Source organism: Homo sapiens, chromosome 2 (assembly GCF_000001405.40).
Source record: "Homo sapiens chromosome 2, GRCh38.p14 Primary Assembly".
In the NCBI taxonomy this organism is placed as follows: Eukaryota; Metazoa; Chordata; class Mammalia; order Primates; family Hominidae; genus Homo; species Homo sapiens.
The window spans coordinates 168,403,568-168,431,419 of NC_000002.12; the positions used below are offsets into that span (position 1 = coordinate 168,403,568).

Consider the following 27,852-nt stretch of genomic DNA (forward strand, 5'->3'; position numbering starts at 1 on the left):
ATTTAGGCATGAAGTTGGGGAGACCAAGGGCAAGCAGGAACCCAGGAGGAGACTGAAACCCACTCCTATCTCTCATTATCTGCAACCTTGATGGGGAAAATCTGCAGAAGAATCAGGTGGCCTTCACCATGGAAATGCACATATATCTGCTCACCACCAGAGGCAAGGAGTGGGACTAAGAGAAGCTGAAGGAGGAGATCAGGCAGAAACTGGAGGGGATGCTGGCCAGCTGCCCCATTACCAACGAGGTGACCCAGCAGCTCAGTGACAATGTGTATGAGCTGCAGCAGCCCCTGGTACCCAGTACTGACTTTCAGTGCTGTTGCTTCCCTTCCCTTTACCTTCCAAATCTCAAACTGATGTACCTTGTGATCATCAGGAAACCAAAATTATACATGAAAGAAAGTTCTGAGAAATATGGTTTCATCTTAGCTAAGATAACACAGTACAAAACTATCCCTTTCCTTCTTAGTCTCTCAAGTCCCTGACGGCAGGGAATATATTCTCTTTATGTATTTATATGCCCAGCACCTAGAATAGCTTTCAACACATTGTAAGTCCTCTATAAGTTGTAATTCAAAGGACGAATTTTTTAATAAACAAATTCTCTTTTTTTGTAAGAGACAGTCTCACTCTGTTCCCCAGGCTGGAGTGCAGTGTTGTGATCATAGCTTACTACAGCCTCAAACTCATGGGTTCAAGGGATCCTCCTGTCTCAGCCTCCTGAATAGCTGCGTTTACAGGCATGAGCCACTGTGCCCAGTTCAAATTCTATTTTTGCCTATGAACAAAGTTAATTTATTCATTAAAAATTACCCTTTGAATGGAAACTTACTGAGCACTCGATTATAAATTCTAAATTGTAAAATTGACAAACTTTGAATATGATACTATATTATCAGTGCATTTTATAGATTTAACCACTGTTGGTAGCCTAATAATTGGTGCAAACAAATTTGTAAGTACCTTAAATTATTTTTGAGTATAAATACAGTAAAGTAAAATTAATTAATTTTAAAATGTCACTATAGGCAAAATGTAACTGTTCCTTTTCTTCATTATGAGATATATATTTTTAAGAAATCAGAAAAATATGTCTTGACAATTCCTTGGAACCTTTTTTTTAAAGATGTAATTGATGGCAAATAATGAGATTACCTTTAGTATCCTGTTAAACACTGGAACTCACCTAAGCTTCAGCAACTGTGTTGAAAGTTAGGAATCTTTGGTGGGAAAGGAGAATCAGAAAAACAGGAATTGTTCACTCCTGTTCATAGAGTTTCTCGGCCCTTCCAAAGAGCTGGGATGTGAAAAACTACCTTCCTATATTTGATTATGGAAATCCCCAGGGAAGTGGAGTTCCCCACCCAGAACTGACCTTTAGCATGTCTTATCTTTGGTCTTGAAAAGTTGGCATTTGGCAGCTCTCGGGTAACAAACTGTGCCTCATTGTGCTTTGGTTTAGAGGACTTGTTTAAGCCAGTGACTATACATTTTCTTTTGGATGAAAACTATAAGAAAATACTCTCTGGATAATACATTTATTTGAGTAACACTTGGTTTCTAATTTTAGAAAATGCCCCACTTTTTTATGATGTGCTAGGGCAGTGGATGAGGAGGAGAATCACGTGGAATTTATCTAGTCTTAAGGACTTCAAACATACCCTTTGGCATGTCAGTTCAAGCAGGTAAAGATATTTTGAGAAAAACAACGGAGTAAGTAAGGGACATTGGGTTGTTGTAGGAGCATTAGGAAAGTTTTAAACCGAGAAAGACCCTGGCACATTACCAGATTTCAAATTGCTATTTATTTATGTGTTCCACAAATACTTTTAAAGCTTTCTATTATATATGAGGGGGTCTTTAAATAGTTCATGGGAAATGAATATTATGAAAAAAATAATGCACGGATTTTAATTTTTTTTGCAACAAAATAAACTCATACTAACTTGCTATAGCATGGCTAAAGAGAATCTAGTTTTAGGCACTAAGAAGGTTAAGATATTACTTTTAAAAGAGCCCTTATCAGAGAAACATGAATTCTGCTAAACTTGAAGAACAAACATCAAGAACAAACATCAAATTTATGGTGAAGCTTGGGTGGAAGAATAGTTAAATTATTGATGCTTTACAAAAACGTTATGGGAACAATGTTCCAAATAAATCAGCAGATTACAAATGAATAATTTTAAGACGGGATGAGATGATGTTGAAGATAAAGTGCACAATGGCAGACCATCCACATCAATTTACAAAGAAAAGATCTTGTCCACGACTTAGGTGAAGAGAGCCAACTATTAATAGCAGAAATAAAAGCCAACATTATAGACATCTCAACTTGTTCAGCTTACACAAGTCTGACTGAAAAATTAAAGTTGAGCCAACTTTCCAGTTGACGAGTGCCAAAATCATTGCATCCAGATTAGCTGCAGACAAGAGTAGAGCTTTCAAAGGAAATTTTAAACAAGTGGGATCAAGATCTTCAAGCATTTATTTGAAGAATTGTAACAGGGAATGGAACATGGCTTTACCAGTATAATCCTGAAGAAAAAGCACAATCAGAGCAATGGCTACCAAGCGGTGGAAGTGGTTCAGTCAAAGCAAAAGTGGACCAGTTAACATTAAAGGTCACGGCAAAAGTTTTTTGAATGTTCAAGGCATTTGCTTGTTGACTTTCTAAAGTGCCAATGAACGATAACATCTGCTAATTATGAGAGTGTTTTGAGAAAGTTAGCCATACTTTAGCAGAAAAATGCCTGGAAAGTTTCACTGTAGAGTCCTTGCCCACTACAATAATGCTCCTACTTACTCCTCTCATTAAACAAACACAATTTTACCATAGCTTCGATGGGAAATCATTAGGCATCCACCTTATAGTCCTGATTTGGCTCCTTTGGACTTCATTTTATTATCAAATCTTTAAAAGGCACCCATTTTTCTTCAGTTAATAATGGATTAAACTTGACGAACTTATGTTGACAAATGAAGTTCATTTTTTTATTTTAATTCAATTTATTAATTTAATTTAATTTTGAGATAAGATCTCACTCTGTCACCCAGGCTGGAGTGCAGTGGTGCAAACACGGCTCACTGTAACCTCCACGACTTGAATTCAGGTGATCCTCCTACCTTAGCCTCCTGAATATCTGGGATCACCAGCATGCACCACCACACTTGGCTAATTTTTTTTTTAATTATACTTTAAGATCTGGGATACATGTGCAGAACATGCAGATTTGTTACATAGGTATACACGTGCCATGGTGGTTTGCTGCACCCAACAACCTATCATCTATATTAGGTATTTCTCCTAATGCTATCCTTCCTCTACCCCCCAACCCCCCGACAGGCCCCAGTGTGTGATGTTCCCCTCCCTGTGTCCATGTGTTCTCATTGTTCAACTCCCACTTATGAGTGAGAACATGTGGTGTTTGGTTTTCTGTTCCTGTGTTAGTTTGCTGAGAATGATGGTTTCCAGCTTCATCCATGTCCCTGCAAAGGATATGAAATCACCCTTTTTTATGGCTGCATAGTATTCCATGGTGTATATGTGCCACGTTTTCTTTATACAGTCTATCACTGATGGGCATTTGGGTTGTTCCACGTCTTTGCTATTGTAAATAGTGCTGCAATAAACCATACATGTGCATGTGTCTTGATAGTAGAATGATTTATAATCCTTTGGGTATATACCCAGTAATGGGATTGCTGGGTCAAATGGTATTTCTGGTTCTAGATCCTTGAGGAATCACCATACTGTCTTCCACAATGGTTGAACTAATTTACACTCCCAACAACAGTGTAAAAGTGTTCCTATTTCTCCATATCCTCTCCAGCATCTGTTGTTGCCTGACTTTTTTTTTTTTTTTTGGAGACGGAGTCTTGCTCTGTCACCCAGGCTGGAGTGCAGTGGCACGATCTTGGCTCACTGCAACTTCTGCCTCCCAGGTTCAAGTGATACTCCTGCCTCAGCCTCTCAAGTAGATGGGACTACGAGCGCACGCTGCCACGCCCAGATAATTTTTTGTAATTTAGTAGAGACAGGGTTTCACCGTGTTGCCCAGGCTGGTCTCGAGCTCATGAGCTCAGGCAATCCACCCACCTCAGCCTTCCAATGTGCTAGATTTACAGGCATGAGCCACTGTGCCCAGCCTGTTTCCTGACATTTTAATGATCACCATTCTAAGTGGTGTGAGATGGTATCTCATTGTGGTTTTGATTTTCAGTTCTCTAATGACCAGTGATGATGAGCTTTTTTTCATATGTTTCTTGGCCACATAAATGTCTTCTTTTGAAAAGTGTCTGTTCATATACTTTGCCCACTTTCTGATAGGGTTGTTTTTTTCTTGTAAATTTAAGTTCCTTGTAGATTCTGAATATTAGCCCTTTGTCAGATGGATAGATTGCAAACATTTTCTCCCATTCTGTAGGTTGCCTGTTCACAGCTTTTGCTGTGCAGAAGCTCTATAGTTTAATTAGATCCCGTTTGTCACTTTTAGCTTTTGTTGCCATTGTTTTTGGTGTTTTAGTCATGAAGTCTTTGGCCTTGCCTATGTACTGAAGGTATTGCCTAGGTTTTCTTCTATGGTATTTATGGTTTTAAGTTTTACATTTAAGTCTTTAATCCATCTTCAGTTAATTTTTGTATAAGGTATAAGGAAGGGGTCCAGTTTTAGTGTTCTGCATATGACTAGCCAGTTTTCCCCACACCATTTATTAAACAGAGAATCCTTTCCCCATTGCTTATTTTTGTCAGGTTTGTCAAAGACCAGATGGTTGTAGATGTGTGGTGTTATTTCTGAGGCCTCTGTTCTGTTCCATTGGTCTATATATCTGTTTTGGTACCAGTACCATGCTGTTTTGGTTACTGTAGCCTTGTAGTATAGTTTGAAGTCAGGTAGCATGATGTCTCCAGCATTGTACTTTTTGCTTAGGATTATCTTGGCTATATGGGCTCTTTTTTGGTTCCATATGAAATTTAATGTAGTTTTTTCTAATTCTGTGAAGAAAGTAAATGGTAGCTGGATGAGGATAGCATTGAATCTATAAATTACTTTGGGCAGTGTGTCCATTTTCATGATATTGATCCTTCCTATCCATGAGCATGGAATGTTTTTCCATTTGTTTGTGTCCTCTCTTATTTCCTTGAGCAGTGGTTTGTAGTTCTCTTTCAAGAGGTCCTTCACATCCCTTGTAAGTTGGATTCCTAGGTATTTTATTCTCTTTGTAGCAATTGTGAATGGGAGTTCACTCATGATTTGGCTTTCTGTCTATTATTGGTGTATAGAAATGCTTGTGATTTTTGCACATTGATTTTGTATCCTGAGACTTTGCTGAAGGTGCTTAAGAGTTTAAGGAGATTTTGGGCTGAGATGATGGGGTTTTCTAAATATACAATCATGTCATCTGCAAATAGACAATTTGATTTCCTCTATTCCTATTTGAATACTCTTTATTTCTTTCTCTTGCCTGATTGCCCTGGCCAGAACTTCCAATACTATGTTGAATAGGAGTGATGAGAGAGGGCATCTTTGTCTTATGCTGGTTTTCAAAGGGAATGCTTCCAGCTTTTGTCCATTCAGTATGATATTGGCTGTGGGTCTGTCATAAATAGCTCTTATTATTTTGAGATACGTTCCATCCATACCTAGTTTACTGAGAGTTCTTATTATGAAGGGGTGCTGAATTTTATTGAAGGCCTTTTCTGCATCTATTGAGATAATCATGTGGTTTTTATCATTGGTTCTGTTTATGTGATGGATTACGTTTATTGATTTGCGTATGTTAAGCCAGCCTTGCACCCCAAGGATGAAGCTGACTTGATCGTGGTGGATAAGCTTTTTGATGTGCTGCTGGATTTGGTTTGCCAGTATTTTATTGAGGATTTTCGCATTGATGTTCATCAGGGATATTGGCCTGAAATTTTCTTTTGTTGTGTCTCTGCCAAGTATTGGTATCAAGATGATGCTGGCTTCATAAAGTGAGTTAGGGAGGATTCTGTGTTTGGAATAGTTTCAGAAGCAATGGTACCAGCTCCTCTTTGTACTTCTGGTGGAATTTGGCTGTGAATCTGTCTGGTCCTGGGCTTTTTTTGGTTGGTAGGCTATTAATTACTGCCTCAATTTCAGAACTTGTTATTGGTCTATTCAGGGATTCGACTTCTTCCTGGTTTAGTCTTGCAAGGGTGTATGTGTCCAGGAATTTATCCATTTCTTCTAGATTTTCTAGTTTTATTTTGCATAGAGGTGTTTGTAGTATTCTTTGATGGTAGTTTGTATTTCTGTGGGATCAGTGGTGATATCCCCTTTATCAGTTTTTATTGTGCCTATTTTATTCTTCTTTCTTTTCTTCTTTATTAGTCTGGCTCGCAGTCTATCTATTTTGTTAATCTTTTCAAAAAACCACCTCCTGGATTCATTTATTTTTTGAAGGGTTTTTCATGTCTCTATCTCCTTCAGTTCTGCTCTGATCTTAGTTATTTCTTGTCTTCTGCTAGCTTTTAAATTTGTTTGCTCTTGCTTCTCTAGTTCTTTTAAATTATTTTTTAATAATTTTAAAATTATATTAAAAGTAATTATTTTAAAAATTATTTTAAATTACTTCCAAGTATGTGGTCAATTTTAGAATAAGTGCGATGTGGTGCTGAGAAGAATATATATTCTGTTAATTTGGGGTGGAGAGTTCTGTAGATGTCTATTAGGCCCACTTGGTCCAGAGTTGAGTTCATGTCCTGAATACCCTTGTTAATTTTCTGTCTCTTTGATGTGTCTAATATTGACAGTGGGGTGTTAAAGTCGCCCACTATTATCGTGTGATAGGTGTCTAAGAACTTGCTTTATGAATCTGGGTGCTCCTGTATTGGGTGCATATATATTTAGGATAGTTGGCTCTTCTTGTTGAATTGATCCCTTTACCATTATGTAATGCCCTTCATTGTCTTTTTTGATCTTTGTTGGTTTAAGGTCTGTTTTATCAGAGACTAGGATTGCAACCCCTGCTTTTTTTTTGCTTTCCATTTGCTTGGTAAATATTCCTCCATCCCTTATTCTGAGCCTATGTATGTCTTTGCACAGAGATGGGTTTTCCGAATACAGCACACCAATGGGTCTTGACTCTTTATCCAAGTTGCCAGTTTCTCTTTTTTTTTTTTTTTTTTTTTTTTGAGACAGAGTCTCACTCTGTCACCCAGGCTGGAGTGCAGTGGTGCAATCTCGGCTCACTGCAAGCTCCACCTCCCGGGTTCACGCCATTCTCCTGCCTCAGCCTCCCGAGTAGCTGGGACTACAGGCACCCGCCACTATGCCCGGCTAATTTTTTGTATTGTTAGTAGAGACAGGGTTTCACTGTGTTAGATGGTCTTGATCTCCTGACCTTGTGATCTGCCCACCTCGGCCTCCCAAAGTGCTGGGATTACAGGCGTGAGCCACCACGCCCGGCCCAGTCTCTCTTAATTGGGGCATTTAGCCCATTTACATTTAAGATTAATTCTATTATGTGTGAATTTGATCCTGTCATTATCATGCTAGCTGGTTATTTTGTCCATTAGTTGATGCAGTTTCTTCATAGTGTCGATGGTCTTTTCAATTTGGTATGTTTTTGCAGTGGCTGGTGCCGGTTTTTCCTTTCCATTTTTAGTGCTTCCTTCAGGAGCTCTTGTAAGGCAGGCCTGGTGGTGACGAAATCTCTCAGCATTTGCTTGTCTGTAAAGGATTTTATTTCTCCTTCACTTTTGAAGCTTAGTTTGGCTGGATATGAAATTCTGGATTGAAAATTCTTTTCTTTAAGAATGTTGAATATTAGCCCCCACTCTCTTCTCGCTTGTAGGGTTTCTGCAGAGAGATCCACTGTTAGTCTGATGGGCTTCCCTTTGAGGGTAACCCGACCTTTCTCTCTGGCTGCCCTTAACAGTTTTTCCTTCATTTCAACCTTGGTGAATCTGACGATTATGTGTCTTGGGGTTGCTCTTCTTGAGGAGTATCTCTGTGGTGTTCTCTGCATTTCCTGAATTTGAATGTTAGCCGTTCTTGCTAGGCTGGGGATGTTCTCCTGGGTAATATCCTGAAGAGTGTTTTCCAACTTGGTTCCATTCTCCCTGTCACTTTCAGGTACTCTAATCAAATGTAGGTTTGGTCTTTTCACATAGTACCATATTTCTTGGAGGCTTTGTCCGTTCCTTTTCATTCTTTTTTCTCTAATCTTGTCTTCATGCTTTATTTCATTAATTTGGTCTTCAAACTCTGATATCCTTTCGTTCACTTGATCGATTCGGCTATTGATACTTGTGTATGCTTCACTAAGTACTCATGCTGTGTTTTTCAGCTCCATCAGGTCATTTATGTTCTTCTCTAAACTGGTTATTCTAGTTAGCAATTCCTCTAACCTTTTTTCAACGTTCTTAGCTTGCTTGCATTGAGTTAGAACATGCTCCTTTAGCTTGGAGGAGTTTGTTATTACCCACCTTCTGAAGCCTACTTCTGTCAATTTATCAAACATTCTCAGTTTTGTTTTTTTCCCTTGCTGGCAAGGAGTTGTGATTCTTTGGAGGAGAAGAGGCGTTTTGGTTTTTGGAATTTTCTGCCTTTTTGCACTGGTTTTTCCCCATCGTTGTGGATTTACCTACCTTTGGTCTTTGACATTAGTGACCTGCAGATGGGGTTTTTGTGTGGATGTCCTTTTTGTTGATGTTGATGCTATTCTTTTCTGTTTGTTAGTTTTCCTTCTGTCAGGCCCCGCTGCTGCAGGTCTGCTGGTGTTTGCTGGAGGTCCACTCCAGACACGTTTGCCTGGGTATCACCAGTGGAGGTTGCAGAGCAGCAAAGATTGCTGCCGGTTCCTTCCTCTGGAAGCTTTGTCGCAGAGGGGCACCTGCCAGATGCCAGCCAGAGCTCTCCTGAATGAGCTGTCTGTCGACCCCTGCTGGGAGGTGTCTCCCAGTCAGGATACACGGGGGTCAGGGACCCACTTGAGGAGGCAGTCTGTCCCTTAGGAGAGCTTGAGCACTGTGCTGGGAGATCTGCTGCTCTCTTCAGAGCCAGTAGGCAGGAACATTTAAGTCTGCTGAAGCTGTGCCCACAGCCACCCCTTCCCCCCAGGTGCTCTGTCCCAGGGAGATGGGAGTTTTATTTATAAGCCCCTGACTGGGGCTGCTGCCTTTCTTTCAGAGATACCCTGCCCAGAGAGGAGGAATCTAGAGAGGCAGTCTGGCTACAGCGGCTTTGCTGAGCTGCGGTGGGCTGTGCCCAGTTCAAACTTCCCAGTGGCTTTGTTTACACTGTAGGGGGGAACCACCTCCTTCTCAAGCCTCAGTAATGGCAGACGCCCCTCCCCCAACCAAGCTCAAGCATCCCAGGTTGACTTCAGACTGCTGTGCTCGCAGTGAGAATTTCAAGCCAGTGGATCTTAGTTGCTGGGCTTCATGGGGGTGGGATCTGCAGAACTAGAACACTTGGCTCCCTGGCTTCAGCCCCCTTTCCAGTGGAATGAATGGTTCTGTCTCACTGGTGCTCCAGGTGCCACTGGGGTTTGAAAAAAAACTCCTGCAGCTAGCTCAGTGTCTGCCTAAATGGCCACCCAGTTTTGTGGTTCAAACCCAGGGCCCTGGTGGTGTAGGCACCTAAGGGAATCTCCTGGTCTATGGGCTGCGAAGACTGTGGGAAAAGCGTAGCATCTGGGCCAGAATGCACTGTTCCTCACAGCACAGTCCCTCACAGCCTCCCTTGGCTAGGGGAGGGAGTTCCCCGACCCCTTGCACTTCCTGTGTGAGGTGATGCCCCACCCTGCTTCTGCTCACCCTCCATGGGCTGCACCCACTGTCTAACCAGTCCCAATGAGATGAGCTGGATACCTCAGTTGGAAATGGCAAAATCACCCACCTTCTGTGTTGATCTTGCTGGGAGCTGCAGACTGGAGCTGTTCCTATTTGGCCATCTTGCCTGGATCTACTTTTAATTCAATTTTCCTAGAAACTTCAATTTGAAATTTCCTCATACTGTTCACAGGTTAGGCACTAAGATTATAGCAGTGAATTAAATAGATGGAATCCCCTGTTGTTATGAAACTTAAAGCCTAGTTGATAACTCAGTCAATAAACAACTTTCCAGATAAGTGTATAATTATAATACAGGATGCTATAAGAGGGTTTAAAAGGGATCTAATTTAGGCTGGAGTGTGGAGAAGTTCTCCTTGAAGAAATGATATTTTATTTATTTTCTCAGATCCTTAATAAGTCAAAGTAGCAAAATTAAAGGCAAATATTTAAATGGAACACAGTCAGGCACTGCTTTTAATTGTGTAATAAACAAGACAGATGCAAACTTTCTAAATAAATCGTAAGCAAATTGAATCTAACATGTGCTGATGATAAGGTACTATATATTCCAGAAATAAAATAATGATCAGTAGCAGAAATCTATGTACTATCAATATTGTTCATGAAATTAGTTGATTTTTCAAATGATTATTTCAATGGCTATAGAAAAAACATTCTATAAGGCACACCGTATAGTCTGTTCTCACGCTGCTAATAAAGACATACCAGAGATTGGGTAATTTATAAAGCAAAAGAGGGTTAATGTACTCACAGTTCCACATGGCTAGGGAGGCCTTATAATCTTGGCAGGAAGCAAAGTAGGAGCAAAGGCACATCTTACATGGTGGCAGGCAAGAGAGCATGTGCATGGGAACTGCCGTTTATAAAACCATCAGATCTCATGAGACTCATTTACTATCATGAGAACAGCTCAGGAAAAACCTGTCTCCATGATTAAATTACTTCTTGCTGGGTCCCTGCCACAGCACATGGGGATTATGGGAGCTAATTTAAAGATGAGATTTGGGTGGGGACACAGCCAAACCATATCATTTCACCCCTGACCCCTCCCAAATCTCATATGCTTACATTTCAATCCCAATCATGCCTTCACAACAGTACCCAAAGTCTTAACTCATTTCAGCATTAACTGAAAAGTCCAAGTTCAAAGTCTCATCTAAGACAAGGCAAGTCCCTTCTACCTATGAGCCTGTAAAATCAAAAGCAAGTTAATTACTTCCTAGATACAATGGGGGTTTAGGCGTTGGGCAAATACACCTGCTCCAAATGGGATAAACTGGCCAAAACAAAGGGGCCACAGGTCCCATGCGAGTCCAAAACCCAATAGGGCAGTCATTAAACCTTAAAGTTCCAAAATGATCTCACCTCCTTTGACTCCATGTCTCACATCCAGGTCACACTGATGCAAGAGGTGAGCTCCAGTGGCCTTGGGCATCTCTGCCCCTGTGGCTTTGCCACAGACCCCTTCCCAGCTGCTTTCAGGGGCTGGTGTTGAGTGTATGCAGCTTTTCCAGGCATATGGTGCAAGCTGTTTGTGGATCTACCATTTTGGGGTCTGGAGGATGGTGGCTGTCTTCTCACAGCTCCACTAGGCAGTGCTCCAGTGGGGACTCTGTGTGGGGGCTCTGACTCTACATTTCCCTTCCACACTGCCCTAGCAGAGGTTCTCCATGAGAGCTCCACTCCTGCAGCACACCTCTGCCTGGACATGCAGGCATTTCCATACATTTTTCTGAAATCAAGGCAGAGATTCCCAAACCTCAATTCTTGAATTCTGTATACTTGCAGGCTCAACACCATGTGGAAGCTACCAAGACCTGGGGCTTACATCCTCTGAACCCATGGCATGAGCTGTACCTTGGACCTTTTTAGCCAGAGCTGGAGTGGCTGGGATTCAGGGCACCAAGTCCCAAGGCTGCACACAGCAGGGGGACTGTGGACCTGGCCCAAGGAACCATTTTTCCCTCCTAAACCTCTGGGCCTGTGATGAGAGGGGCTGCCACAAAGATCTTTGACATGTGCTGGAGATGTTTTCCCCATTGTCTTGGCGATTAGCATTTGGCTCCTCACTACTCATGCAAATTTCTGCCACAGGCTTGAATTTCTCCTCAGAAAATAGGTTTTTCTTTTCTACTGCATCATCAGCCTGCAAATTTTTCAAACTTTTATGCTCTGCTTCCTCTTGAATGCTTTGCTGCTTAGAAATTTCTTCTGCCAGATACCCTAAATCATCTCTCTCAAGTTCAAAGTTTCACAGATCTCTAGGGCAGGGGCAAAATGCCGCCAGTCTCTTTCTATAGCAAGAGAGACCTTTATTCCAATTCCCAACAAGTTCCTTATCTCCAACTGAGACCACCTTAGCCTGGACTTTATTGTTTGTATCACTATCAGTACTTTGGTCAAAGCCATTCAACAAGCTTCTAGGAAGTTCCAAGCTTTTCCACATCTTCCTGTCTTCTGAGTCCTCCAAGTACCTAAGAAGTTATAAACTTTCCCACATTTTCGTATCTTCTTCTGAGCCCTCCAAATTGTTCCAACCTCTGCCTGTAACCCAGTTCCAAAGTCACTTCCACATTTTCAGTTATCTTTACACCAGTACCCAACTGTACTGGTACCAATTTACCGTATTAGTCTATTCTCACACTGCTAATAAATACATACCAGAGTCTAGGTAATTTATAAAGGAAACAGGTTTAACGGACTCACCGTTTCATGTGGCTGGGGAGGCCTCATAATCGTGGCAGAAGGTAAAGATGGAGCAAAGGTATGTCTTATGTGGCTGCAGGCAAAAGAGCATGTTCCCTGTATAAAACCATCAGATCTTGTGAGACTTATTCACTATCACAAGAACAGCTGGGGAAAAACCTGTCCCCATGATTTAATTACCTCCCAGCAGGACCCCCCCATGACATGTGGGGATTATGGGAGCTGCAATTTAAGATAGGATTTGGGTGGACATAGCCAAACCATATCACACACTTACTCATGAAAAGAATTTTTTTTAGCAGATTAGGAAAATAAGAAAATCCCTTAACCTAATAAGAGAAGAATATTTTTTAAAAATCCTTCAGCAAATAGATTTAATGATAAAACTTTTAAAGTATTTCCATTAGAGTGAGGAGACCATAACTTTTCAATACTGTCCTAGGAGTCCTAGTCAATGTAGAAAATAAGCAGTAAAAATATTAGAGAATGTATCAGTTAGACTAAGCATTATTCAATTTATTGTGGTTTGGAAATTTAAAAGTTAACCACATTGTTCATTTCTGAAAGAGACAAAGTTGTCATTATGTGCAAATGATATGATAATCTTATCAAGAGTCAGGACAAGAAGTGGAAAAACTATTTTAATGAATAAGATAACTCAGCAAAATTTTCTCAGTGAGGCCAGATGTGGTGACTCATGCCTATAATCCTAGCACTTTGGGAAGCCAAAGTGGGAGAATCACTTGAGCCCAGGACTTCAAGACCAACCTGGGCAACACAGTAAGACCCCATCTCTAAAAAACAAAAACAAACCAAAAAAAAGTTTTTAATTAGCCAGTCATGTTGGTGAGTACCGGAGGTCCCAGCTACTTGGGAGGCTGAAGTGAGAGGATCCTTTAAGCCCAGGAGGTTGAGGCTGCTGTGAGCCATAATTTTGCCACTGTACTCCAGCCTGGGTGAGAGAGCGAGACCCTGTCTCAAAACTTAAAACATAAAAAATAAATTAAAAAAAAATCGATAGTATTTTTATACCAATTTCTTTACACCAAATCATTCCAAAGAGCAGCACAAAGTATAAAATGCCAAGAAATTAATTTTTCAAAAGTTGGATTTTTATAGGAAAATTATAAACTTTTTTAGAGGACATATTAAGACAACTTGAATAAATAAAACTGAAAGGACATATTATTATTTAAAATATCTTCTCAATTTAATCAATAAATTCAATATACTCCAATAAAAATTACAAAATAATTTTTCAGAAATTTTGACAAGCTAATTCCAGAATTCATAAAGAAGAGTCAAAGTACATGAATAGTCAAGGCAATTTTTGAATAAGAAATGTAACAGTTACGTATTTCTTAAATAAAACAAAAACCATCAATTAAAAGGAAAAATATATGATAAGTTGGACTATGCTAAAATTAAAATGTCCACATAGTTAAATACACTATGAAAAAAGTTGAAAGAAAAGCAAACGACTGGGAAAAGTATTTTTAGCACAATAATTAGCAAAGGATTAATATTCACGTCATGTATATAGAAGTCCTACAGATTAATTTTAAAAGGACAATAGAAACTGGAGCAGAAACTGGTATGACGCTTTGGAATATGACATGGTAGCATCTAGTAAACGTAAAAATATACATATCCTGTAATCCATTAATTCTATGTCTCAGTACACTCTCTAGAAAAACACAGATATTACAAAAAGGAGAAACATCAAGGATATTCATGGAAGCACTGTTAACAGTAAATAAGTGGAAAAACCTTAATGACCATCAATGAGGGAATGAAGGGATGAAATGTATTATATCCATGCAATTTAATATTCAGTGGTAGTTTAAAAGGTCTTTAACTTTATAAATATTAATATGAATAGACACCAAAAGCAATGCTGAAAAAGAAAGGCAAGATAGAGATTGATACATTCAAGATGATGCTGTTTATGTATATTAACCATATATAAAAGAAAATATGACCGGGCGCGGTGGCTCACGCCTGTAATCCCAGCACTTTGAGGCCGAGGCAGTTGGATCACTTGAGGTCAGGAGTTTGAGACCAGCCTGGCCAACATGGCAAAACCCTGTCTCTACTAAAAATACAAAAATTAGCCAGGCATGGTGGCAGGCACCTGTAATCCCAGCTACTTGAGGGGCTGAAGCAGGAGAATTGCCTGAACCTGGGAGGCAGATGTTGCAGTGAGCGGAGATCGTGCCACTGCACTCCAGCCTGGCTACAGAGCAAGAATCCATCTCAAAAAAAAAAGAAAAGAAAAGAAAAAAAGAAAGAAAAAAAAAGAAAATATTACATGTATTTTTATCTTATGCATAGCATTAAAATGCAGACATAGTATATATGTGTACATAAGTATCGGTACACATATCTATATTTAGATATATGTAAAACTACATGGAGATTAATGTAATTCTCTTGCAGAATAGACTGGAAGAAAACAGACAACACTTCAAACACACAAGTAGAGAAGGGTGTGGAAAGTGGGGAGGGAATAATCCTGGAGATAGGGTTTAAAGAACACTGATCTATATATGTAGTGTGTTATTTCTTAAATAAATAAAAGATTAAGAGCCAATGAGACAACATATTTATTGATTGATTGATTGATTTATAGAGACAGGGTCTCGCTTTATTACCCAGGCTGGAGTACAGTGGTGCAGTCATAGCTCACTGCAGTCTTACACTCCTGCATTCAAGCAATCCTCCCAACTCAGCCTCCCAAAGTGCTGGGATTATAGGCGTGAGGTACCATGCCAGGTCCCAGGACAAAATATTTAAAATGTGTAATTCAAAATAGCCAAATAAGACATCTGCTTTATTACTCTTTGTAACTTTTTCCCTTTGAATCTCTCACAGGTAAGCAAAGTTTTAAAAAGGTACTTATAAATTGCTTTCATACAATGTACATATGCAGATCAAATGCCCAAAGTGTCTTTAGAATTTTCTTTTCTAAAAGGTCTCTGATTAGAATAATCAGATCACTTTTCTGAACAGGACTGGTTAGGTATGGAAAGAAAAACAGAAGAGAGGGTCTGAAAGCCAAGTTCATTGTGGGGAATTCTTTGAGTTCTTTTAGAAAGACTTGATTCTGGTTGTGGTGGGGGTGGAAGGGTGGGTAGGAGAGAGGATAGAGAAAAATTACCCCGAGAGACTCCTTCCTGCAACTCCTCAGACTCTTCCAGCTAACAGAGCATGGGCATGATGCATTAGTGAGCTGAGAGTAAATAGCAAATGAAGCAGAGGTGCCAGTTCCCTTGAGGCTTAGGTAAGACGTCAGTGGTAAGAAAATACTACATTCTTTTTGTGTAAGAGGCCAAAAAGGTGAAAATCTCTGGTAAGGCATAATAACAGTAGAAGAGGGAAAGACTAAAGTTCATCTCTCCTGAAATTTATCTTCTGTTATGCCAGTCCATGCTAACTTCAAATTCTGAGTAGCAATAGTGCTCATCATATATTGTCATATTATTATAGAGCCACTCAGAAAACAAGAGAAATTTGGGCCGCCTCTTTTTTTTTTTTCCTGAGGCTCTAGCATATTAAAAATGATGAAATAGCAAAATAGACCTACAATGATTATATATTGTTTACAATTAACAGTAGGCTTTTGATACAAATTATAATAAAGTAAGTATGCTAGTCATCAGCTACAAATCATGAAAGATATGAAATCATAGTAGACATATGAAAGACAAAAATGTAAATTTCTATGATGAATATGTTTGTCTTTTAATCCTGTCATTATCTTTGTGGTTGTATGTAATGCCGCAATAAAAGATCAGGCTAAAAATCTATGAGTTCTTTGTGAATAAGAAGTCAGGGCCAAACAGTCTTCCTTTGCCATCTCTCCTGCCCTCCTTGTTTTAAGTTCTGCTCATGGGGGTTTCCAACCAGACTATAGCCCAGTTTAAAGGAATGACTGTGTCTTATGAGTTGTGGGGCAAGAGGTTGAGGGGAACAAGAGTGTGACTTTGGTTGGATTTGTAGTGGAATGGCACATACCACAAGTCAACAGGATGGAAGAGGCAAGTTCAGAGAGGATGACGTAAAGCAGGGAAGGGTAGGAAGATGCCATGAGTTCGGGCAGGTGAGATGCTCAGAGCAGACCCTTGTCCCTGGTCTATCCACCCTGGACTGAGCCTGGCAGCCCACAGAACTGAGATAGGAATTGGCAGTCGTAGTCTCCAAGACAACAGGCCACATGACCCCACTGATAAGACAGGAGACAGTAAACAACAGGTCACAAGCCCCTGCTGCTAAGAGGATAACAATAAAGAAACCAGGCCGGGGGCAGTGGCTCATACCTGTAATCCCAGCACTTAGGGAGGCTGAGGCAGGCAGATCACGAGGTCAGGAGTTCAAGACCAGCCTGACCAACATGGTGAAACCTCATCTCTATTAAAAATACAAAAATTAGCTGGGCATGGTGGTGCACACCTGTAGTCCCAGCTATTTGGGAGGTTGAGGCGGAAGAATCGCTTGAACCTGGGAGGTAGAGGTTGCAGTGAGTCAAGATCTCACCACTGCACTCTAGCCTGGGCAACAGAGCAAGACTCTGTCTCAACAATAAATAAATAAATAAATAAATAAATAAATAAATAAATAAACCATCTAGAACCAAGGTGGAGTGAAAGTGACCTTCACTATTCATTATCCATGAATTATAATTCACTAGCATGCTAAAAAACGCTCCCATCAGTGCCATGACAGTGTACAGTTGCCATGGCAACACTCAGAAGTTACCCTGAATGGTCTAAACTGGGGAGAAAACCCCAGTTCTGGGAGTTCCCTGCCCCTTTTACAAAAAACTCATGCATAATCAATCCCTTATTCAGCATATAATCAAGAAATAATCACAAATATAACAAGTGAGCAGCCCACAATGCTATTCTGCCTATGGGGTAACCCTACTTTGCTTATGGAGCAGTCTTCCCTTTGTTCCTTTATTTCATTCAACTTCCTCTTGCTTTTTTTCTGTCAGATCGCTTTTGACTTCTTTCTTGTGTGAAGCCAAGCACACAAAGTCCCCCAGACTGAACCCTACTTTTGGATGTGCAGAAGGGATGGGTTGGCTGAACTTTTCAACTCCCTTCTCTATTCAATTCATGATCTCATCGCCATGTTTCATTCTCATATTTCACTTCTTTAAGGGCTTTTCTACTAAGTCTTAAAAATCATTATGTTAACATATACTTTGAGAAATTGTTGGAATAATCGCCATTTGGTGGGAATATGTTCAGAGAGAGTGGTGGCTTCCCCCATGACCCTTCCATACCTGGAAACACACACCCTGCCATCAAACTGAGCTTCTGACTTAATGTCTGGGGAAGGCAGCTGACAGGGATCTGGTACTTAAATTGATAGAGGAGGACCTAGAATGTGGAAGAGTGAAGGAATTAGGAGTTCTGGACAAGTAGAGACAAAATCCCAAGGCATAGAATTCTGTGAACAATGGAATGAGGGTCTAGGCATGGGCACCAGCAGGACAGGGTGCAGCTTGACACTTAGCAGGGTTTCCCTGCATCCCTACAGCTCAGTCCAGAGGTGGTCCAGATGTGATGCAGGTGGAGCAATCATATAATTCCCATAATGTACATGTCTTATGAACTCATCCAAATCAGAAAATACTCTGCCTGCCTGACTGTAGTTCTCTATAAATGAAAAAAAGTGTTATTAAAAGGATTATAAAACTCTAAAAAGTCAGAGCCTACAGTCTCTGTGCATAAGTAAAACCATTAGATAATCTGGGTGAGAGATCTTTATGGCCATTTGTCATTTGATGATATTTTCTTCACCTGTAAACCCACAACGATACACTGTTACTAAGAGAGGATGAAACAGAAAGGCCTGGAACATTCCATTCCCAAGAGATAATTTATCTAAGTTTTAACAAAGAGAAAGAAAATCAAAGCATAAAATGTTCTCCAGTTTTGGTCTTTTGCACAGTCAAGAGAGGCATTACATACTTACTACTTTGTTATTAAAAATAGAGACTACTCTCCTCCCAATGTCCCAAATGAGAAGAGGAAAGTTGGAACTGGATGCCATCAATAGGTTGAGAGACCAGTCACATCAAGGAAGAGAAGAGGGACCAATTTATGTTGGCAACATTTAACTTTGATGAGCCTCTTTTTGTCAGCCTCTTCTAACTTGGGGAGGCGGGAGAGGGGAGGAAAATGGCAGAGAGAGAAGCGAAGTGGGGGAAGGCCGTCTAGAAATCTAGAAGAGAAAAAGTTTACCTGTAAAAAGAAAGCCAATGTGGATTATAATTTAACATAATCTTAAAAAGAAAATAAAGAGACTTCAACAAAAGTCAAAGCAAACCATTTTAATCAATTTGAACCCCAGTAGGAAGAGGGTAGTTTCCCTTGGCCTTTGGCTAAAAAGTCTACTTAAAAAGCTGGTAGTCCATGGGCGCCTGTAATCCCAGCTACTCAGGAGGCTGAGGCAGGAGAATCATTTGAGCCTGGGAGACAGAGGTTGCAGTGAGCTGAGATTATGCCATTGCACTCCAGCCTGGGTGACAAGGTGAGATTCTGTTTCAAAAAAAAAAAAAAAAAAAAAAGCTGGTAGTCCAAAAGGAAGGCTATGTTAGCAGGGAACATTGCTGCACAATCAGAGGAGTTAGTTTTTAGTCAGAGTTTACCAGAAAATCCCCAGGAAGTCTGAAGTTTCTTCCTCTGTGTCATTTTGAGTTGCTGTCATCTGTCCCTAACCCCATTCAGATTAGTCAGTGTGAAAGTATTTGAAGGTATTTCTGCCATTAATTTTAATTCATTTCTAATTTTTTTAAAAAAATTCATAAACTAAAAATAATAGCAAGTCCAATGATATTAAAAGCTTAAATGTTTTTCTAAGATGATGATTCCTTATAAAAGGAAAAATTCCTTAAAGAGCTGTGTTTAAGAATTCATGAGATCAGCTGATCTTTTATCAAGTCACACATTTGTTTCTATCAAACCATTAAGACTATGTGTAATGTCAAAATCATTAAATTCCAAAAATTATTGTGGAAACTCTTCTCCACATTATTTTATTATTATTATTTCTACAAATTATTGTGTAAACTGTCCATCCAAGGTGACTACGGACAGAAAGGAAGTGGATGTGATAAAATATCAATGTACTGATACATTGAATTTAAAGTCAGAGAGGGTTCTTGATGGAAAGGACTGCATAAATCAATGAGATCTGTGGTTCTCAACTCTGGTTGCATAATAGAATCACCTATATAATGGTATTTCAGTTTTATGTTTCAACTCAGCGTTTTAAGGATATATTCTTGATTATTTCTTCTATTTGAAATCTTCTTATCTACACCTCCCATTTTTACCACCACTGCCAAATTTAGCCATGAGAACACCTATACTTCTTACGAGTGATTTTTATTCTCTCTCTTGCTTGAGATCAATTTTTCTCCAATCTCTTTATATTTTCATTTGAACACCTACAGAATTTTTTAAGACTCTTCTCGACTGCATGAATTTGAATGCTAAAATATTTATGGTTTCTAATGCAGAATGTAATTAAAGACAGTCTACATTTGTCTTCTTTTTAAAGGTTAATACGTTTGTTATAAAATAATTTAAAATATTAAAACATGAAAAGTATAAAAACCATAATGATAATACACAGAATAGGAAATGTATTTATCACACATACAAGAAAATGTTGAAGAAAGTGCAAAATTATTTGTATATATTCTTGTGTATCAAGGTTTAAGGACTTTTAAATGTATCATATCTAATGAAATGAAATAAACATTTTCAGGACTTTTGGGAAGGACTGTAGATTATTACCACACTTTGAAATATAATTTGATAATATATATTATCAAAGCCTTAAATACTTTCATTTCTAAAACCTGGCATTAAGAAAAAAGTCAGCCATCTCTCTGTGTCTCTGTCTTTCCTTTATGAATTTCTGCTCCTTTGTCCTAATACCAATGACTTTGGGTATCTGTATTAGTCTGTTCTTATGCTGCTAATAAAGACATACCCAAGACTGGTTAATTTGTAAAGGAAAGAGATTTAATTGACTCACAGTTCAGCATTGCTGAGGAGGCCTCAGGAAACTTACAATCACGGAGGAAGAGGAAGAAAACACATCCTTCTTCACACAGCAGCAGCAAGGAGAAGTGCTGAGCAAAAGGGGGAAAGCCCCTTATAAGACCATCAGATCTCATGAGAACTCACTATCATAACAGTATGGGGAAAACCACCCCTATGATTCAATTATCTCCACCTGGACCTGCCTTTGACACGTGGGGATTATTACAATTCAAGGTGAGACTTTGGTGGGGACACAGAGCCAAACCTTATCAGTATCCTATTTAGGATTCCATTACATGTTTTATAATTTTTTTCCAGTTTCCATATTAAATCACTTTTGAAAGTACATACATCTTCTGACTCTTCATCAAGGACTAATCCCTACTTCCATAGGCTGCAAAGTGAGGATCATAACAATACCTTCTTCACAGTATTATGTAAATTAAATACATTTTCATGTGAAAGGCTGGGATTGACTAACTGTTGGAAGATTTCTGGAGTTCATTTTGTAATTGAAGCCAAGCTCTTGATTGCCTGTGAGGCTGATATGATGTGGGTGATCACATTACATTTCTGGTTTGTTTCTCAAATTTCATCACATTGCTGTGAAAAGTTACCATGGATATGTCAGGTTTTGAGCATGCTGTGCTGCTGGGAGCTTGGTGGAGACCTTCTGGAGTAGATAAAATGGAGGAAGGTCAAGGTGAAAAGCTATGGTCTTAAGGGGAGGCATTTCCCCATTTCTGCCCATTTTTGCTAGGAATGGATGCCAGCCTCACAAGGTAGCCAACTGAACTGGAGCAGTTAGTTACCCTTCCATTTGGGGGCTGGTGTTGTGAAGATCATCCCAAGCAAGAAGGAACTGCTGAACTGTGAACTTCTGTTTTCTACAAATCATCAAAATTTTTAAGTCTTATTTGCCTTACCCCACGCTTTGCTAGTGTTCTGGGTTGAGGCGGATTTGTTTCATCACAAAGAACCTATAGAGACATAATGTTTCTTTTTATCTTTCCCAGGTTAGCACGTTTTAACTTAGTTCAGTTGACATAGGGTTATTTTTAAGAAGAAACTTCAATTGGCAACTAGGAGGGGAAAAAAAAAAACCAGAACAGACTGGTTTACAGTTTCTTTTAAGATATGTTCCCTCCCTTCCTAACTTTCTTCCTTCCTCTTTTTCTTCCTTTAATTTTTTTTCTGATTCTTTTTTCATTTAATAAATTTCTTGAGCACTGTGCTGGTCAGTGGGGAGTCAAGGATAAATAAGAGGCATGATTTTCTTCCTCTAATTTAGCTACAATTTACTTTCTCTCTGAGATCAATACTTTTTCTTTTTTGTTTTATATTATACAATGAGAGACGGCCCCTCTTACTTTATATTCCTTGAACAATAAGGACCCCTAAACATTACACATCTAAAATGATATATTAACACCGGATTTTTTTTCAGTAAGGAAAAAAACAATTTCCCTAGTAACCAGCTTGCTATAGTCTCTTAGGAAGTTCAGCTATGATTGCTGAATGCTCAAATCTGTCTTATTCTTCTTAAAGTATCCAGGCCATTTTTTTCAGTATGAGAAATTTAATGATGCTTTAAAAATAATTTTTAAAAACAGCTAACCAGCAGGGCATGGTGGTGCGTGCCTGTAGTCCCAACAACACAGGAGGCTGAGGCGGGAGAATCTCTTGAGCCCGGGAGCTGGAGGTCAGCCTGAGCAACATAGCAAGCCTCAAACTCCTAGAAGCCTCAAACTCCTGGGCTCAAGCGATCCTCCCACCTCAGCCTCCTGAGTAGCTGTTACTACAGTTGTGTGCGACCACACCACACTAATTTTTAAATTTTGTGTAGAGACCAAATCTCACTGTGTAATGGTTTTTCTTTTTAAAGTCTTGGTGCCACCAGGCCTGGAGCACTCCACGCTCCAGGAATCCTAGATTGGTAAGGAATTAATCCATTGGTTACACTTGCCTCAACCTATTGTTCTCTCAAGTCTCCAGCCTCACAAACTGTATCAGTAGTTGATTGGGTCTCTGCCTCCTCTTTGGGCGTCAGGTTTCAGGTGTATGGCTTGAAATGAGCTTACTTCTTAATAAATCACCCTTCTTCTCATTGACACCTCACCCTAGCTCCAAAACCTGCTCTCCCCTGTGATCTGCCCCACTACTGATAAGCTCTCTGCTGGCACTAACTTTAGGTCATTCTCCAGGCCATATGGACATGGCATTCCAGGAAAAGGGGAGATGTGAGCTGGGGGCACGTGAGTGTAGACTAGCACAGTGTGTCCAGGTAATGGCATGGGTTAGTGTGATTGGAGCTAAGGTCTGTGCAGGGGGCATAGGAGGACACTAGGCTAAGAAGGAAAGTTTGGCCCAGATTGAATGGGCCTTCTCATTACATTAGACTTGATCCAGTACTCAGTGCAGAGCCACTAACAGGTTTAGGGGAGGTGAGTGAGTTAACCCTATTCCTGTTTTAGGAAGAGGACTTCAGTGTAGGCATGAAGGGGTACTGGAGGATGAGACTGCAGGAGACAGGGCAGCTCTTTACAGGAGGTTTGCCTTAATCCAACAGAAAATAGTAAAGGGTGGACTCAGACCTGGCAGTGGAATGAAGAGATAAGGAAGATGGGAGAGATTGTTTCAGAAATAAAACTGATACAACGTTTTGATTAATTGGATGTAAGTTAGAAGGAGCAGGGAAAGTCAAAGTAGAGGTCTTCTTAAACATATATGGAGAAGTTTGTGCCAGTAACTGAGTGAGAAATAGAAAAGGTAAAGCAGGTTGGGGAGAAGAAGATCAGTTCTGTTCTAAACATGCTGTTTGAGGCCTGAAAGGAGAAGCTAAATGCGTATCAGATAGACAGGAGAAGCTCTGGGAGTTAGTCATAGAATTTACAAGAAACATCAAGAGTTGTTGCAGATTGGTCCAAGTCAAACCAAAGAGGAAACTGAACTTAGAGAGTGAGAGAAAGGTAGCAGGACTTAAGGATGTGATAAATAACTGGCTTTCAACACTCACCGAACATCTAAGTCACTTGGGAGGCTTTAGAATATTAGTAATTTCATTGAGATACAATTTATATAGCACAGAATTCACCTGTTTAAACTTTAGAATTCACGGTTTTTAGTATATTCAAAATTGTGCAACCATCACCACCACTTAATTTTAGAAGATTTTTGTCACCCCAAAAAGAAACCCTATGTCCATCAGCCATCACTCCCTATTCCCCGCAATGAACTTAAAAAAGAAGAAGGTTGCTACTGGAAGGGTATGGTAAAGCTCACAGTCTCACAAAGAGCTGAATTACCAGGCCTTAGGAAGAGCAGAAAATACTCCAGCTCTGGGAGTCCCAGCAGAAGAAACTGAGAGGCTTTTTCTTCCCAGTGATGCTGATTGATGACTCAGCATTCACGTCTTCTCTCCTATGTGTCTCTGCTCAGTGGTCAAATTCCAGAGAAGGAAACTCAAAACGACCTCTGGTCAGGGAAGCTAGTCAGAGAAATCAAACAACAACAATGAAAAACCAGATGTCTAACCACATTGTTGGTCTGGAGAAAGCTGCATCTGCGAAGACTCTATATTGTCTCCAGTTGAGAGTGAATGTAAAGTGAGGAAACAGTACATGAAGGCTTACTCTTCAACAAGTCTATACCAAGGGAAAAAAAAGTAAAGCAATTGTGCACAGTGACGTCCTGGGCTGAAATATTTCTCCCACCCCAGCCTTCTGAGTAGTTGGGACTACAGGTGCACACCACCACACCTGGCTAATTTTTTTAAAAAATATTTTTTGTAGAGATAGGGTCTCCCTATGTTTCCCAGGCTGGTCTTGAACCCCTGGATTCAAGTGATTCTCCTGCCTTGACCTCTCAAAGTGCTGGGATTACAGGTGTGAGCCATTGTGCCTGATATTTGTTTGTTTTTAAGATATGATGTCCTTGAATATGTTCATAGGCAGGGAGACCTGGGGGAGAGGGGAGGGAATTAATGGAGCAAGTTACAGAAGAAGGCAGGTAGGGCTGATATTAGTGGCAGAGGAGGAGGGGTTAGCTTTGGAATGTAGGAGGCACACTTTTCCAAATAGATGGAGATTTGCAGGGTAAGGGGAAAGGAGGGATCTGCAAACTGATGGCCTGTATTTCTCAGGGAAATAAAAGACAAAGTGATGTGTAGATTGAGGGTCCAGGGAGTGAGGACTTGAGGTGAGTGGTGAGTCTGTGACTCCTGCTGCAGGGTCAGGTTCACTAACGGCAGCAGAGCAGTGGAGTGGTCCAGTCAAGCTTGACGCCAATGGATTGCTTTTTGTTCCTTTTTCCTTCCATTGCTGATTTTTTTTTTCTTTACATTTTAATGTTTATTTATCTCTCTCTCAAAGAGTGAACTAGAGAAAAAAAAAAGGGAAAGCAAATGTTAGAGGTTAAACTGAATGGACCACATCATAAAGTTTCTGCTCAAGCTTTGGTGGGGTGAGGATGAAGCGGACACAAAAATAGCTTGTTATTATTGGACTCCACTTACCCTTGTTTCTCCATCATAACCTCTAGTCCACGGATGTTGGTTTGTCTTACTACTCTAGAGGACTTGGAGCCCTTGGTTCAGAAGATGAGGCAAGAGTGCAGTAGATTCCTTCAGGTGTAACTTTACTGCACAAGGGTGCACCAAATAGGCAGCACCTGAGTACCTGGTACCACCAAGGTTGTTCCAAGGAAGGTAGTTTATATCACTTCAAGGCAGGGTTGTTGGGACAACCAAGCAAAAATGGCTTAAAGACTATACTTACCTTCCATAACTGCAAGGGGCATCCGTGGCGAACCAAAAGATCTCTCAGTTGAAGACCAGGTGACCCCAGATGAGATGTCAATCAAGATCTACCCCCTCTGAGTTCTTTAAAAATGGAACCTCCATTCTTGACTTCATAATGGCTTTATTGCAAACTTCACAGACCTTCCTGCTAGCACAGCGCTAAAAAAGAGCATCATTTCAGACTGCATTCTGATTGGGAGAAACAATCAGGAATTAGATTAGGCAGAACTGAGTTAGAACCCCTATCCCACCACTTCCTAACTGGGTGCCATTGGGCAAATTACTTACTCTCTCAGATCCTATGTCTTTGTATTTAAAGGATAATTTTAAGATGAAATTAAATATCCTGGTGAAAGCATTAAATAAGGAGTCTGGTACATGTTAGGTGGGCAACAAGTGCTGGAAATAATGGATCATGATATTTAATTTAAAGTTGTAGGTGGTGGGGGGGTGATTGTTAAAATAATGTAAAAGACACTTGTGAAATTTCTCTGTGGATACAGTGTAATACAAATTCAAAGTAAAAAGGAGTTAGTCCCATTACCAGAAAGAATACAAAAACAAGCAGCAACAAAAGCAACAAACAAAAAACAAAAAGACTCCTGGTAATTCATAAACACAGATGTGTTATCTTAAAGACTGGGATTCAAATTGCCAAGGACATTATTTTTTGATAAAGCAGTGCAAGTGAATACGAAAGATATGCAAATACCCCTGTCAAGCAGCTCAGAGCTACCTCCTAGCACTGTCGTCAAACCCTCCGTAACTCCCCAGTGCTGTTCCTGCCCTTTCCAGTCTTGTCTTTCACCGACTCCCCTTGACCTTTCAGCTCTGGTGAACTTGGATTCCTAACCTTGCATTTGTTTTCCCCAGTTCAGCATTCTTAATATTGTCATTCCATATGTGTCTCTCGAAATCCTTCTCCTATCCCTACCTACAACCCTACCAACTTTCTCATCCTTCAAGACTTGATCAAATCTCCCCTCCTCTAAAGCCTCCTCAGAATCATCACTTTCTGCTCCGAAATCCCAAGGTACTTCTCTTCTGTAGAACTAATTTGGCCAGCTAATTAGAGTGGGCATGTGTCATTCTTTTAGGCTGCTCCACATCTGAAGCCCTTTCCTAAGTTTGAGGGAAGCAGAACCTGCCTATGGAAGCTGAAGAAGCTTGAACATTTTCCCAGCCTCCCCTGCAGTTAAGACAAGGGCACGTGACAGAAGCTGAGCCAATCAGATGCATTCACCCCACTTGGTTGTGGACGCCAGGGATGTGGAGAAGCAGAGACCCAGCAGTCCTGAGGCAGTTGAGGGTGATGCCTGTGGAGCTGCGTTTGGTTTCCTGAGTCAATGACGGCAGAAAGTCTAGCAGTAGTGGCAACTAGGCACACTGATTGGTCTGTGCTCTGTGGTAGGAGTGGCGAAGTCTTCACCAAACTTCATGGTATGATATGGGGCATTACTTATGGCTACTTATCCCCAAGACTGATTCTCCAGCTTTGCTGAAGGTTTAGGGCCAAAAATAGGAGATTTCAGCATAGTAACTGCTTAAAATGCAATACAAGACCACTCTGGGAATTTCTTACTGCTTGTCTTTTTAGAAACTTGCCTCCAGCCGTGGTTAGTGGGCCTTCTTTCTTCCTAGGTCGTGCCCACAGAGGAATTTATAGCAATATTTTTGGATGTTGCAATGTTTGGGAGTCAATGCTGACATTTGGGAGAGAGCAGAGATACTAGTTTTCCTGCAATGTACAGGACAGCCACACACAATGAAAAATTATCTGTCATCTCCTGTCGTTTTCAAATGTCCCCAGGTTAAAAAAAACACTGTTTATAATTATCTGAGTCTAGAATCTGACTCTGTTTTACATACAAAGACAAAATATTTGGGACTTTTTGAGGGAAGACTGCATTTGGTTTGGAACTCCCTCAAGGGTCTTTGCTATTTAGAGATGTCACATCTTTAAAGATGGCAACAGTGCATGTGGTGTTGTCAAGGCAACACCTGAGGTTCAGAGCTTGAGTGTTACCCTCTTCATTTTCCAGATTCTGTGAGTCCCACAAGCATCTTACTCCTTCATTGTGTATTTTGTAGTGTCCTCCTGGCCAAACACTTGTATATGGTAGACATATTTTTATGTATTCCTCAAATTGCTTCCCTTTTATTTCTCCTTTATATTACCATTAGGAAAGTATATTCAATTTTTTAAGTTCATTTAAATTTTATTTCAAGATAGTCATGGTGACAGTCTAAATTACTTGTTATAAAAATGAACAAGTACCATGACCATGACCCTAAAGCCTTCTCTTATTTTCCCACAGTCTTTCAGCCTATCCCCTCCCAAACCTGTTTGTTACTAAAGATCCATCAGTGTGGAATTTTCAACGTCATTCAATTTTTTAAGATAACATACTTTCCTTCCTGTTAGTTATATACATAAATGCCCTCAGAAAATG

The 27,852-nt window shown here is 40.1% G+C and overlaps 2 long non-coding RNA genes across 9 annotated transcripts in view; both read right to left on the bottom strand.

Annotated features, from left to right (window-relative positions):
- LOC105373734 (uncharacterized) overlaps positions 1 to 18,188 on the bottom strand; it is an 80,567-nt gene extending 62,379 nt beyond the window's left edge. For 2 of the 4 annotated variants that reach the window (XR_001739766.2, XR_923560.3), the window contains exon 1: positions 1,190 to 1,288. This is a non-coding gene — a long non-coding RNA (uncharacterized LOC105373734). Of the gene's footprint in view, positions 1 to 1,189; positions 1,307 to 12,535; positions 12,632 to 17,825 lie in introns of those variants that run through there. The other 2 variants (XR_923559.3, XR_007087284.1) reach the window with 2 other exon arrangements.
- Positions 18,189 to 18,863: 675 nt separating this feature from the next.
- LOC102724081 (uncharacterized) overlaps positions 18,864 to 27,852 on the bottom strand; it is a 59,691-nt gene continuing 50,702 nt past the window's right edge. Inside the window, exons 2-4 of one of the 5 annotated variants that reach the window (XR_002959433.2) lie at positions 25,377 to 25,558; positions 23,907 to 24,977; positions 18,864 to 19,086 (exon numbers count right to left, since the gene is read on the bottom strand). This is a non-coding gene — a long non-coding RNA (uncharacterized LOC102724081). Of the gene's footprint in view, positions 19,087 to 20,593; positions 20,691 to 20,798; positions 24,978 to 25,376; positions 25,559 to 26,252; positions 27,176 to 27,852 lie in introns of those variants that run through there. The other 4 variants (XR_007087286.1, XR_007087285.1, XR_001739767.2 and 1 more) reach the window with 4 other exon arrangements.